Source organism: Homo sapiens, chromosome X (assembly GCF_000001405.40).
Source record: "Homo sapiens chromosome X, GRCh38.p14 Primary Assembly".
Taxonomy (NCBI): domain Eukaryota; kingdom Metazoa; phylum Chordata; class Mammalia; order Primates; family Hominidae; genus Homo; species Homo sapiens.
Genome location: NC_000023.11, coordinates 41587423 through 41602638, shown reverse-complemented (window position 1 = coordinate 41602638; position 15216 = coordinate 41587423). Strand labels below are relative to the sequence as shown.

General features: G+C 37.9%; 1 protein-coding gene across 12 annotated transcripts in view, besides 2 other annotated features; it reads left to right on the top strand.

The window, feature by feature from the left end:
- Window positions 1–15216, top strand: part of CASK (calcium/calmodulin dependent serine protein kinase) — a 408621-nt gene that overhangs the window by 320916 nt on the left and 72489 nt on the right. For all 12 annotated transcript variants that reach the window (NM_001126055.3, NM_001410745.1, NM_001126054.3 and 9 more), the window contains one exon: window positions 13047–13124. In NM_001126055.3, coding sequence (NP_001119527.1) covers window positions 13047–13124 — 78 coding nt within the window. The remainder of the gene's footprint in view (window positions 1–13046; window positions 13125–15216) is intronic.
- Window positions 5722–5771: a silencer, noted in NCBI's record as "silent region_20777". NCBI's record gives its function as "represses an Ori minimal core promoter by ATAC-STARR-seq in GM12878 lymphoblastoid cells {active_cell/tissue: GM12878}" and the evidence as "EXISTENCE:reporter gene assay evidence [ECO:0000049][PMID:35858748]".
- Window positions 5812–5931: a silencer, noted in NCBI's record as "silent region_20776". NCBI's record gives its function as "represses an Ori minimal core promoter by ATAC-STARR-seq in GM12878 lymphoblastoid cells {active_cell/tissue: GM12878}" and the evidence as "EXISTENCE:reporter gene assay evidence [ECO:0000049][PMID:35858748]".

Genomic DNA, 15216 nt, shown 5'->3' with positions numbered 1-15216 from the left:
ACTTCTATTCACCATTGTCCCAGAGACTCTGGCCAGTGCAGCTAAGACAAGAAAAAGAAATTCAGGGCATGAAGATTGGAAAGGAAGAAGTAATATCATCCTTTCCCAGAGTTGTTATCTTGCATGTAGAAAATACTAAGGAATCCACAAAAAATCTAATAGCATTATAGGCAAGCTTAGCAAGGTCACAAGATACCAGATTAATATACACACATTATCTAAATTTCTATATGTGAGCAAAAAATAACCCAAAAATAAAATTAAAGAAATATTCACAATATTATAAAAAGAATAAAATAGGAATAAATTGAACAAAAAAAATGTAGGATTTGTATACTGAAAACTAAAAAATGCTATGAAAGAAAGATCTAAATAAATGAGCAGAGATATACTGTTGGATTGGAGGACTTAATATTGTTAAGATGGCGCTTTTCTCCACATTGATCTATAGATTCAGTGCAGTCCCTATCAACATCCCAGTAGGATTTCTTTGTAGAAGTCAACAAGGTGATCCTAAAATTTATATAAAAATGCCAAAACAATTTTGAAAAAGAAAAAAATTGGATAACTGATTTCAAAACTTACTATAAGGCTACAATAATCAAAATAGTATGGTGTTGGCATAAGGATAGATATACAGATCACTGAAACAAAAAAGAGTCCAGAAATAAACCCTCACCTTTATGGTCAATTTATTTTCAACAAGATTGCCAATGCAATTACATGGAAAGGGGGATAGTCTTTTTTTTTCAAATGGTCCTGGAGCAGTTGGAGATCCATATGCAAGAAATGAACTTAGACCCTGTCTCATACCATACACAAAAGAAAATTGCCTCAAAATGGATCATAGATTCACTTTAAGAGCTTAAAACTATAAAACTTTTAAAAGAATATAGGAATAAATCTTCATTACCTTGGGTTAGGCAAAGAGTTCTTAGATGTGACACAAGGGAATTTGGGGGGATTACGGAAATGTTCTTAAGCTGGATTGAGATGGTGGTTGTACAACTATATAAATTTACTATCATCCCACTAGATTTCACAGGGCCATTACACTAAATTAAAATTTAGCTTTGTGGCTAAGAATTTACCACTGATTCAAAAATACTAAATATGGTTTTTTCTCCCAAGAACTGTTTTATTAACCAGCGTGTAGTTGTGCCTTATGGAAGAAGTCCAAATTGTGTTTTTTGTTTGAAAATGTTATGAATTACATAACTTTATAGATTTTCAATATGGAAGACACCTTAGAGCAACTTATTTTAGTTCATTCCTTCTACATTCAAGTACATATTTGCCATTTCCAAAAATTCACAGCTTTTTGATACTTTTTTAACATCAATTTTTTGGTCTTTTTTGTTGTGGCAAGATATATATAACATAAAATTTGCCACTTGCACCATGTTTAAGTGTACAGTTCAATGACATTAAGTATATTCACATTGTTATACAACCATCATCACTATCCATCTCCAGAACTCTTTCATCTTTCCCAACTAAATGTCTGTACCCATTAAATACTGACTCCCATTCACCCCTCTCCTTAGCCCCTGGCAACCACCCTTCTACTTTCTGTCCCTATGAATTTGACTACTCTAGGTACCACGTATATAAGTGAAATTATCCAGTATTTGCCCTTTTGTGTCTGGCTTATTTCATTTAGCATGATATCTTCAAGGTTCATCCATGTTGTAGCATGTGTTAGAATTTTCTTCCTTTTTAAGGCTGAATAATATTCCATCGTGTGTGTATAGTACATTTTGTTTGTCTACTCATCCAATATTGATGTTTTGTGGTTGATAATTATGTACTAGGAAAAACCAAATTCTCAGAATAAGGCTGTCTAATCGTAGGGAATTCTGCCTCGTTCCATCTCCACACAATTACTCTTTCTAGGATGCAAGTTAAATCTTATGCTATACATCTTCGTGAAGGAATGTGTGATTTCCACTGAAAGTATTAATGACTACGGAAGTCCCTCCAATTCCCTTATTTGTTCAGATAAATTACTTCTTAAAGCAGGGTTTAGAATTTACTCTAGAATACCAAGAATAATGAATCAGCTTGTCACCAGTATCAGTGTTACCCACTGAGTGCCATTCTCTTTTTATGACACCATGATCAACTTTACCAAAAGGCAAAGGAATTTGCAGAAAGCCTTCTAAGTACAATAAGCACTGATTCTTCTTTATGCTATGCTCAAGGAAAGGAGGGGTTTCCCCCTAGAAAGGAATGTGATATGCTCAGTTAAAGAATGTTCGATGGAGTGGCTTGCAGCATTCATAATCCAAGAACATAGCTGTTTTCTTCTCTTTGTGGCCCTTCAAACATGATCTCATAAAACTCTTCTGCCAGACTGCCTTTGTGCTATTCTCTTTAAATTTTTCATGACAGAAATTCATTTTTGCTACAGCTACACCAAGTACAAATGCTTGGTGTTTACCTATGCAAAATAAAAAAGGTAGCAAAAGCCAAAAATAATTAAATAAAATATTATCTGACACACCTAATGTAACATAAATGTTACCTTTTAAAGCAGCACATTAATAATTGTATGTTCATTTAATGTAAATATCATTTAACTCTTGTAGTTGCTTAAGAAGAGCCAAGCTAGGAAATGTGATTTTAACACTTTAAAAAAATAGAAAGGAAATTAATATCATAGTGAAAATTTCTCATAGTTGGGCAAGCTCTTGTATCTGATACTAAAAAGTACCGTATTTCAGAAGATTTTATTAAAACAAGATAAAATCTGCCTATATTATATCATGTAACTGGTTTTTTTCCTCATGCTTTCTTTTGCTCAAGAATAGGCATTATGATTTGTGTTTTACAGGGCTTAATTTTAGAGTTATTTGACCACTTGAAAAAGGCATAGAGAACAGTCAAGCTAGGTCATCTGAGGCCAGTGTTTGAGTTTCTCAGAAATAGCTGCCAACTGACCAGAAATCTGCCACACTGGCCTATGTTGTTAGGCCACCAAAGGCACAGTCTTCTTGGATTGAACTAGGAGGTCAAGCAAGTCTTAATTTCTTGAATTCAAAAATAAATCCCTGTAAGTGCGATGTTCTAATAGGATTAGAACAAAAGCAGCCCTGTATACAGACAAATAAAACCTAAACAAAACAAGGGCCTCCTTAGAGGTTCTTTTGCTGTCAGGATCCAAAGGATTTTTGCAGCTTTTTCAGGAAATCTTGTACTGGCCCAGATGTACTGATTTTTTAATTGCCTTTTTTGCTGACAGAAGAAAACTTTAATAATGGATTTAGAGCAGCGTATTACTAGGCCAGCTGCACTCCTTCTTGCACCTTCAAGTAAGGATATATTCCCCATCATGATTTTACTAAAACTTGATTTAAGTTAGCATTTCACTGCTAAGCTATTAAACTAAAGCTTTCCCGGAACACCTAACTCAAGAGCATCCAGGAACATTCTTCTTGGCCATTAAATACAGTAAGCAGTTGTCCATTACATGTCCATCTTCAACTTGAGTTATGTAGTACAAACTGGGCCATGGTATTGGGAGCAGCCCTGAACCTTAGTCCAGGGAAAATCTAAATTCCAGGGTGGAACTCTTGCTCCTTGATTTCAGTCACTAGATTTAGGAATTTACACACTTTTTAAGATGAGAAACAAATTTAGTGTAAGATTTGTAAAATTTTCAAAATGAATGAAATGAAATCTTCAAATGAATTCCCTTCAAATGAATGGAGTTTGCTATCTCCATGCAGATAGTCATCTGTATGACTATTATTTGAGTGCTTTCAACTATTTAAAATAAATTGATTTTTAGCAATTTTGTAGAATATAAAATTTCAAGAAAAACAATTTTTGGTGCAGGTAGGATAGGCATTCTTTGCACGTCAAAAAAGAAAAATGGCCTGAGTGATTTTGATTTCTTTTTGTAACTTGTAATATCCCAATGATACAGAATTGTGTTTAGATTTGTAAGAAGGACAGGTTATAGAAGTTCTTCCAGCCGGGTGCCATGGCTCACGCCTGTAATCCTAACACGTTGGGAGGCCGAGGTGGGTGGATCACCTGAGGTCAGGAGTTCAAGACCAGCCTGTCCAACATGGTGAATCCCCGTCTCTACTAAAAATAAAATAAAATACAAAAATTAGCCGGGAGTGGTGGTGCGTGCCTGTAATCCCATCTACTCAGGAGGCTAAGGCAGGAGAATTGCTTGAACCCAGGAGGCGGAGGTTGCAGTAAGCCAAGATCGTGCCATTGCACTCCATCCTAGGCAACACAGCAAGACCCCGTCTCAAAAAAAAGAAAAAAGAAAAAAACTTCTTCCTAGTGTTTAATTGTAGCTCCTTAAGTTTTTGAAAATGCCATTTTAAATTTTGCAATGTTTCTTTCACACTTACGTTGCCCATCATGCAATCTTTAGGCCACTGCTAAATACACTGCTCTTCTCCAAGCTTGAACTACATGATGTTTAATGATGCCAAGGATCTTTGAAAGGACTCTGTGTGTGTGTGTGTGTGTGTGTGTGTGTCAGGGCCTCAGTCTGTCACTCCGGCTGGAGTGCGGTCATGCAATCATAGCACATTGCAACTTCGACCTTCCAGGCTCAGGCAATCCTCCCACCTCAGCCCTTCAAGTAGCTGGGATTACAGGAGTGCGCCACCACACCTGGCTAATTTTTGTATTTTTTGTAGAGACGAGGTTTCCACATGTGGCCCAGGCTGGTCTCAAACACCTAGCCTCAAGCAGTCTGCCCACCTTGGCCTCCCAAGGTGCTGGGATGACAGATGCAAGCCACTGCACCTGGCCTCAACAAGTTTATATGTAAACTTGAGCAAGAAAAATAGATTTTTAGATCTTACAAAGTTTTCTGTGATCTCCAACTTCAGAAAATCAGTTCCAGTACAGTAATTGAATATCAGTTCTCTGTGTTTCAGTATTAAATCAGCTTTCCCTAATATTTTGCTCAATTTCAAATGTATATGAGAAAATACCTGTTATGTATTGATGGCTGATCTGCTCAGTTCACTGAAAAGATGTGACATTGAAACTTTGTTCCTATTTACCCACGTAATTCACAGAAACTGAAGAAAGTTCTTAATAAGATAGTCAGTGTTTCCAGAACAAGTTATTTCAATGGTCATTATTGCTACACAGTGTAATTCCGTGCACACTGTTATTATCTGTTTTATTAGGATCATCACAGACACATTCATTAAATATTTTGCAGCTAAATATTTGATTCTTGCAAACTTTCATTCTTTTCCAGCAGGAAACTTCTTCAGTATCTATAAAGTAAGTGATAAGATGATGGTTGCTAATGAACATCAATGTTCTTTGCAACCCTACAAGCCTATGCCTACAGTATAGTTGCAAAAGTTATCAACTTGTCTGAAACAGTATACATTCTGGTCCTTAGATTTGGTTTTCTCTGTGCAAAAAAAGTTAGTGGGACATACAACTCAGTGATAATTATTTTATAGCTTCTTACCATGCATTCCATTTTAAATGTTGATCTTGATAAATACTGCACATAAACTATGAGCAAAACACAGGTTTCTATTTGATAACTAAGAAATCAGAAGATAATGTGATATAATGAGTATGATAAAAAATGAAACTTGATTTAGTGCTTTGAATGTAAATAAAAGGTGACATATTAACTGATTTTATCATCTTTATGTTTGAAAGTACAATCTCAGGAGATTTGAATTTAATATCACTACCAAGTTTATTCTGCTTCATTTGAAAACCCATGTCAAATGTAGAATGTGTTCTCTTTATGGAACTGTGGCGACACTTCCTAAGACAGAAAGATGAATGAAGCGTGTCGGTGTAGGTATGTGTGGTCATATCTGACTCAGTACCAGAGATTTGCAGAGAGCAGGCCTATCTGTGAGACAATATGAGACAGTCTGTTTCCCTTGCAGCTGTTCACATTTCCTTGTTTTGCCCTGGTGTTGTGTGTACATGTTTTTTGTTTTTTGTTTTTTTTAATAAAAAGTGCTGAATTTGGGTAATGATAATTTCATTAGAAAAAGAGAGTAAACAGTAACAGATTCATTCTTGTTTTCCCTCTAGGGATAATTTATTAACATTCTTCCTTCTCTCTTCCTCCCCCTTCACACCTCAGCTTTACAAATACACCTGATACCTTCAAATTTCAGGAAAGCAAATAGCAAAAGGAAATACATTTTGTCATTCCAATATAACTTGAATTTAAGCTTCTAGAGCAGGGATTCACAAACTATGGCCCTCAGGCCAAATCCAGCTGGCCACCTGTTTTTGTAAATAAAGTTTTATTGGAACACAGCCATGCTCATTCATTTATGGATTATTAACAGCCGCCCTCATACAACACAACAGGGTTTAGTGGCTGTGACAGAGATCATATGGCCTGCAAAGCCTAAAATATTTCCTATCTTGCCAGGATAGGATTAGGATCCTGATATTCTTTTTTTTTTTTTTTTTGAGACAGAGTCTCACTCTGTTGCCCAGGCTGGAGTGCAGTGGTGTGATCTCGGCTCACCTTAACCTCCACCTCTCGGGTTCAAGCGATCCTCCTGCCTCAGCTACCTTAGTAGCTGGGACTACAGGCATGCACCACCACACCCAGCTCATTTTTGTATTTTTAGTAGAGATGGGGTTTCATCATGTTGGCCAGGCTAGTCTCGAACTCCTCACCTCAGGTGAGAATCCTGACATTCTTTAACATGGCAAGGCTTGTAATTGAGTAGCTAATAGTTTTCAAATCATATTGAGTGTATTTTTCCCTGCAGCCTATAAATAGAATTTTTTACAGCTTTTTTCCCAAGTATTTGCCAAAGATATCTCCCTGGCACAAGGCATTGTGTATTACTGAATTCTAGTAACAAGCTGAGGAGATCTGGATGAGAGAAAGGACAGCATATCAGCAGGGCAGGGTCAGGTCCCTGCTACTCTGGCTGTATGACCCTGACCATGACAGTTCACCTGACTGGAACTCAGCTTTTGACTTTTTAAAATGGAGGAGTTGAATCATGTTGACATCTAAGATCTCCTCTTTTTTTTATTTTTATTTTTTTGGTACCCCAAACAGAGTCTCATTCTGTCACCCAGGCTGGAGTGCAGTGGCACAATCACAGCTCACTCATCCTGGGCTCAGGGAACCCTCCTACCTCCCCATCTTGAGTAGCTGGGACTACAGGCAATCACCACCACACCCAGCAAATTTTTTTATTTTTTTGTAGAGACAGAGTCTCACTATCTTGCCGAGGTTGGTCTTGAATTCCTGGGCTTAAGTGATCTTCCTACCTCGTATGGCCTCCCCAAGTGCTGGGATTACAGGCATGAACCACCACACCCAGCCCTAAGGTCTCTTTTACCTTGAAAGTTGTATAAAGTAAGTCAGACTTAAAAGATACAAAAGAAAGAATTAAATATAGTCAAAACACATTTCTTAATTTTGAGGGAAAGTTTTTAACTGCACATGCAGGATCGAAGAGAAATAATATCTGGTTCCTAAAGAAACAAGCTGAAATAAATATTCCTGGTGTGTTTATTTTATGTTACTCTGAATTTTTTTTAAATCTATTTACAATTTCTATGTACTAGTCCAAATATAATACTTATTTTTTCTAGAGGAAGCATTTCTTAAACACTACTATGTACTCAGCCTCACGCTAGGGGCTATTACCTAATGTCAGAGAACCCGAGTCTGGTCGTGGGAAAGAAAAAGAACCACTTAAACAGCATGTTCTATAATGTACCTCAGACATTCAGTTCCCTCTTGGCTGTTGATGCCCTTGGTGTGGCAGACACCCCAGTGTTGGCTCTGTCCTGAGTTGCAGACGTGTGGTTTCTGCATCGTCAGTATACTCAGCACCTGGTCTCAGAAACGTTCTCGTCCCCTGCCCCCAGGGGTTACCACATAGCTTTTTACTTCTGAGTCCTCTTGTCCTCCTGGGCAGGGCTGTATCCAGATGGCTCCAGCCAGGCTACCTTCTGCAGTGTCTCCTTGACTCATGGGAAACACACACATGCTTAACTCAACATACACTACAAGCATGGCCTGCCCCAGGCGGCCTCCAGTCATGAAAGAGGCAGGCACCAGTCTCTTTTTGCTTAGGACCCCAAATGCTACATGTCAAGCTGCCCCAAGGACTCTCTCTCACACAGAGATCCTTTCTAGTGTACCAAGGTGGGCCTATAAGTTGCTACAATTCAGCAAGCATCCCTCCAGAGAATGAGATAGTGAGCTCTTCTGGCTGGCACCTCCAGTGTCTAATGCGTGGTTCTTTTGGGGCATCTACCATCCTTCACTTTGTATGAGGGAGGGTGCAATCCCCTCTCCTTTCCTCCCGAACAAGAAGGAGAAGGGAATAATCAAATACTTGCTCTTCTTAGTCCTGTGACTCCTACAAATCCCAGACTTCTGCCTCTATAGGCAGAATGAGGGGTCCTGGGGTGAATATGGAAGGGCCATTTTGACTGCCTTTCAGCAAGCCCAGGAGAAGTGGTCTAGCAGCTTTATAGCAGGTTCAGTGCCATTTACTTCCTCTTGGCCTTAGCTTTGGGCTTTAGCTGAAAGTCCAAGACTACTGGTAAGGTCCCAAGTAACATTTTATATATTCTTTATATATGATAGAATGGGGGGTGGGTAAAGGGTAAGAAAGACAAGCTGCAGTCTTCCTTTGTTCTCAAAACCCAGCTACCTTTCATTTGCCCCAGACCTTGACAAAACTCTACCTAGATTTGAAATTTGAGTCCTGCATATCTTTGCAGGCAGCATATAATATGCAGATGACCCATGAGAATGAGAAATCCAAAAGCACTATGTTTCTAACTACTGTTTTTAAACACTTCAATGTTACATCGCATTCGAACTTTTTTCCATTGATGACTTTTTATTTACCTGCTTTGCCATATTTCTCAAATGCTTTGTATATGCTATGGATATCACTAAAGTATTTTGAGTCTCTAAGACAAAAATGTAGAAATTGGTGGGGGAAATGAAGGTTGACATATTATGCATATACATCAAGATACTTTCCAACTTCGGGTTGCCCACTGAGATCATTGCCAGTTGTTATTGCTGGGGACCAAACTACTTACTCTCTGGTCTCCAAAGGGTTGAATCCTTCATACATTTCTGGGCCTTTGGTTATACAGATTTTTGGAATTTGTGAGCTCTTTGAAGACAGAAACTCATCTTTTTCATCTCTGTATCCCTAGTACATAGAACCCCACATTTTAGTACCTAGTAAGACTTCAATAAATATTGAGTGGATGGGTATGTGGATGAACCAACAAAGGGTCACTTCTCTCTGACAGTGACAAAATGAGCCCATTCCTCACTCCCTCCTGCTTCAGTTCTTACTTGCCCTTTTGGTTGATGAGCCAGCAGCCGAGATTCACAGTGTATTCTTTGCCACATGGACACCATCCTCTCTATCCTGTGGCTGCCTTGAGAGGTGCAGTTTCTAGGACTTGAGAGCTGCAGTTTTTAGAAGAAGCAGAGCCCAATGCCCCCACCTCAGGTAGAAGCCCCACCTTTTAATTCCTTCCCATTGTATCTGCCTTTCATATTAAGCATCCCACCTCCCCCTCATCCTGCCACTACTTCCACTGAACTTTAGGTGAGTTGAATTTAATTTAAGTGATTGAACTGGATCAGACCAGACCAAAGGCGTGGAAAAAAATTTGGTCTGAGTATTTTCCTTGGAGCAGTGCCTCAAAAGAGATTCCAGGCACTTGTGTGCCACCTATGAAGTTGTATGGATAGAACAGCGGTTCTCACTTGACCACTCTGTGCCTCATTTTTCTCATCTTAAAGTGAGAATAGTAGGGGTAACCAACTGCGTAGGATTGTTTGAGGTTAAGTGAATGAGTATATGTTAAGAGCTTAGACTAGTAACTATCATCTAGTAAGTGCTCAATAAAAGTAATATTGTTGCTATTAGTAGTAGTACTATTAGTACTCTCAAAAGTTAGCACTGGACATAAGATTTTCAAATACCTAAGGAGTTTATTAAAGCACAGATTTCTGGACCTCCTTCTTAAATTCTGATGTTGTAGGTCTGGAGGGGGGTCCAGGAATCTATGTTCCATAAGTACTACATCTGATTCGGCCACACGTTCTTAAGAAATTACAGATATAAGACCTAAGGAACTGTATATGACATAGTAAGACCAGGTCAAAAATTATCTCCAATTTGGGGAGTTGTGGGATTATTTTTTCTTTGTGAGAAAAATTGATGTGCATTTATTAAATGTTTAAATAGAAACGAACCATAATCATAGTTGAAAATGTTGGAAATAATAGTCCTTGATCAAGAAAAAGGCAAAACTTACAGTTTATCATGGAATTAGACATTATAAAGTGATGGTGCTATCAACTTGTAAAGCCTCAAATTAAATTTGCTTTTTTTCTCAAACAGGTTTGAGATTTTTTTTTTTTTTTTTTCGAGACAAAGTCTTGCTCTGTCACCCAGGCTAGAGTGCAGTGATGCGATCATAGCTCACTGCAGCCTTGACCTTCTGAGTAGCTGGGAATACAGGCATATGCCACCATGCCTGGCTAATTTTTGTATTTCTTTTGCAGAGACAGGGTTTTGCCATGCTGCCCAGGCTGTTCTCCAACTCCTGGGCTCAAGCAATCTGCCTGCCTCAGCGTCCCAAAGTGCTGGAATTACAGGTGTGAGCCACTGCACCCAGCCGGGTTTGAGATTTTATAAAAATATTTTTATGTATTCACTTAGATTATTTAAACTTTGCTTGATAATATTATGACACGTCAGGGGGTGACTAAATGTGTTTTTAAAGTGTTATGTATTTTTTTAATTGTGATAGGAACACTTAACATGAGCTCTACCCTCTCAACAAATCTTAAAGTGCACAATACAGTATTGTTGGCTGGGCACGGTGGCTCACGCCTGTAATTCCAGCGCTTTGGGAGGCCGAGGCGGGCGGATCACAAGGTTAGGAATTAGAGACCAGCCTGGCCAACATGGTGAAACCCCGTCTCTACTTAAAATACAAAAAAATTAGCTGGGCGTGGTGGCACGCGCCTGTGATCCCAGCTACTCAGGAGGCTGAGGCAGGAGAATCGCTCGAACCGAGGAGGCAGAGGCTGCAGTGAGCCGAGATTGAGCCACTGGACTCCAGCCTGGGAGACAAAGCGAGACTCCGCCTCAAAAAAAAAACAAAGTGCACAATACAGTATTGTTAATGATAGACACAATGTTGTACAGCAGATCACTAGAACTTATTCATCTTGCAAATGTAATGTAGTGTGTGTGTATATGTGTGTTTTATGGTTTCTTAGTTTTTTTGGTTTTGCATTTTGTTTGGGTTTGGGTGGTGGTTTTTTGTTGTTTTACTATTTTTTATTGCATGCATGCAGTGCAATTCATTTCTATAGGCTAGTCTGGAAACCTAATCACTATTTATAACATTATTTTTCTGGGAAAATATGATCCCAGTTACAACATTGACATTTCTTTAGAGATAGAAAGCATTCAGAAGATGGAGACTGCCCACATATATTTTACAGGGATTTGGGCAAACTTTTGTGGACGAGCCACAAATCACCATTTCCCTAAAATGTTAATATAATGTTTTAAATAGAGCAGCATTTTACTAGTCTACTTATACTATTTATTTAATCTCTGATTTAGTAGTGCTTTCTTAATTAATACATCATTTAAAAAATTGTCCCTGCTCTATCTTCACATTGCTTTTGTTAGGCATTTTTATGTATGATGTGGCCCAAATATTTATAAGTCATAAAAATTTATCTTGCATTAGTATAAGCAAATCTGACTATAATCTGAAGAATGTTTATAGTCAGTATTTGACTTCTCAACTAGCATTGGTGTACAGAGTAGGTGAAGAAAAAAAAAAGAATAAAACCGACCACGAAAATCCCCACCTGTTTTAGAGAAGTTAGGAAATAAAAGTGTTCACAACAGCCGAGGTCATCTTTAACTTTTCACTTTTCAAAGCAGACTGTTGACTATGAAACACTTTATTTGAGGTAGAAATTAATATTTTAATTGTATTTCTAAAATAATTAAATGTATGTTCTTCAGAAAGCTGAACTTTGGATCATTTAGGTTTGTGGAATTTTAGAAATATATTTAGTTTCTTTCTTTTTTTTTTTTTTTTTTTTTTTTGGAGACGGAATCTCGCTCTGTCGCCCAGGCTGGAGTGCAATGGTGTGATCTCGGCCCACTGCAACCTTCACCTCTCAGGTTCAAGCAATTCTCCTGCCTCAGCCTCCCGAGTAGTTGGGGTTACAGGCGCCCACCACTATGCCCGGCAAATTTTTTTTGTATTTTTAGTAGAGACGGGGTTTTGCCATGTTGGTCAGGCTGTTCTTGAACTCCTGACCTCAGGTGATCCGCCCACCTTGGCCTCCCAAAGTTCTGGCATTATAGGCATGAGCCATCGCTCCCAGCGTATATTTGCTTTCTTTTCAGTGTCTTCTCCACTCTGAATTGGCAGAGTCAAAAGAAAAAAAGTTTATGTCCTTGACTTCCTGCTGAAGGATACCAGCACTGATTCTGTTAATGAACAGCCCTAGTAAAACAACCATAAGCCTTTGTGAGAACATTCCTTCCTAGAAGGAGTTGGGTTTGCCCTTTCCCAAGATTTAGGTTTCTGTGAAAATTCTTCCAGACGTGCCTTGGCCAGAAAGCATTCTTTCATTTTACTCCGTGTAGACGTGCCTTGGCCAGAAAGCATTCTTTCATTTTACTCTGTATTCATGCTATTGAAAGTTGCTTCTGTCAGAGGAAACAAACACTGTGATTGAGGAAATATTGATGAATTTTAAATGACAAGGAAATTGCCACATTGACAGAATTTTGGTCCATCTATTTAAAGATGATTTTTTGAAAAGATATGCATAAGACTCATATTCTGACAAGTTTCACAGAACAATTCAGAGGTTATTACCAAGAGGATCCCACTGAAATCATCAGCCTGCCTTTTTAAAAGAAAAATATTGTTTAGTGAAATAATAAATATGAAGCTCTGATTTTTAGCAAAGAATTGTGAGTGTTTACTGGATTTTCTTCTTTGCTTTTTAGCTGTATGACAAAATTAACACAAAGTCTTCACCACAAATCAGGAATCCTCCAAGCGATGCAGTACAGAGAGCCAAAGAGGTAAGTGATATATTTTATAGAAGTATTTGGCATCATCATATTTGCCACCTTTATTGAAGACATTTCTGTTGCACATTAAGAGGCAGTTTCCCTGGAGTCACAATTTGACTCATTATATTCAGATTTAGTATTTCTAAGTTTATTACTGAACATACAGAAAAGAAAAAAGATCTCTGCAGCAATATTGCCTAGATTTCTAGTTCTGGTTCTGCGATGTAAACTTGAATACATTACCATCAATTTTACTTCTCTTTTTCTGTTTTTTAAAAAAGCAAGTTATTTTACAACACTTGGTGGAAATAGACATGCTATAAAAATTTGAGTTGCTTTTTGAAGGTGGTAATGTTTGAAAGTTAATTAAATTTCTGTAGCAATTAAATATACTGAGTTCAAAGAAGTCATTTTTGTAAATTGTCAAGGTATGTGGCTATATCTGTCACAAACTTTTAAAAACCTATTTATGATAGAAATACAACATTGCAGAAAGTTTGGAAAATAAAAATAGATCCATAATCTCATCACCCTAACACAGTAGTTTCCATTTTTATATATCGTTTTCTAGTCACTCTCCATTTGCATATAAATTTTTTTATAGTTGTAATCAAAATGTGTCTTTTTTAACCTACCGTTATATAATAAGCATATTTCCATGTTTCTACTTGATCTTTACAAATATAACTTCTAATGACTGCAATATTTTTCTTTGCTGTTATTAAAGTATAACATATTAGCAATTCTCCCATTGTTAGACACATGGGTTTTTTTTTTTTTCATTTTTTGATCATGTCAGTCTTTGTGCAAATAAACATTTTTCTTTTAGAAAAATTATTTCTTATAAAGTGAAATTACTATGTGAAAGACTATGAAGGACATAATCCCTTCCCTACCAGATTTTAGACAGAAAGTCTGTACTGGAAGATGGTGTACGTTCACTGAGAAATGAGACCCATGCAGTGGAGGCTGCCCGGCCTGCCCACTTGGTCAGGACTAGCTTGGAGGGGTTGTCTCTGACTTCACCACCAAGGGCTCATAGAAGGGAATTAAGATATCGCTGATAGAGGCATGAATCACCACCCTGTCTTCACAATACGCAGATAGAAGCAGAGAGACTCTGGGGACAATTCTTTGGCTCAACTGGACAGTGAAAACCTGCTGGTTTCCCCCTAACCCTGCTTAGGTGGAAATACCACACCTCTGTATTTAAAAATAAACTAGGAGAGGAGCAAGGACCCAGAGAGAGTATGTGGTTTTGTCCTCTCATTTCACTAATAGAGAAACTCGGAGCATAAAATACACCAAGGATAATTGGTTTATCATCTTGAAACAATATGAATTAACAGCATAACCAGCACTCTAATGAACAGGGTATTCGGATAAGAAAGCTCTGTCATTTTTGCTTGTTTGTTTGTTCTTCCCTGAGGCAGTAGTTGAGTAGCACAGAACATTCTAGTTATGATGCTAAAATCTAAGGCTCGGGCCATGTGACCTCACAACATCCCCCTCCTGCCCCAGTAGGAAGCTTTTGTATGGTTTTCACAGGTTGAGGTGAGAGTCCTCCTGGATGGATGGTGGTATGATCCTGCCATCCAGTTGTGCCAAAGCAATCCTTTATTGGCTTAATGGTTGGAATTCAGTTGAGTGTAATGCAAACCTCTGAATCCAGCCATATGCAGTTAGAATAGCAGCAGGTGTTTACTCAGAAAAAGAACAGAGGCTTTTTCATGGGTTCATGTCCCATAAATAACTTACACAGGTAAACTCCATCCTGGTGGTAAAGGAGAACTTTTTAAAACAATTTTATTTGAAAACAATCAATTTTACCTGTGCAGAAAAATGTTAATGACTAATTAGTGAAGAAAATTTGAGTGGAAAGAGAAAATAAGGCTTTAAAAAATTGTTCTCTTAGGCTCCCTGGCATTTAACCCTAAGAGCCATTAGCAGAGGCATGACTTTCTCTGTGTGGGCAGATGACTATGGGGAAAAACATTGATCCGGCAGGCATTTTTGCATTTTCTACATTACTTAAAGAAAAATTACTTGTGTATTCTTAATTAAGTAGTCTAATTAATTAGTTCTGTTCTTGAAATCGTTT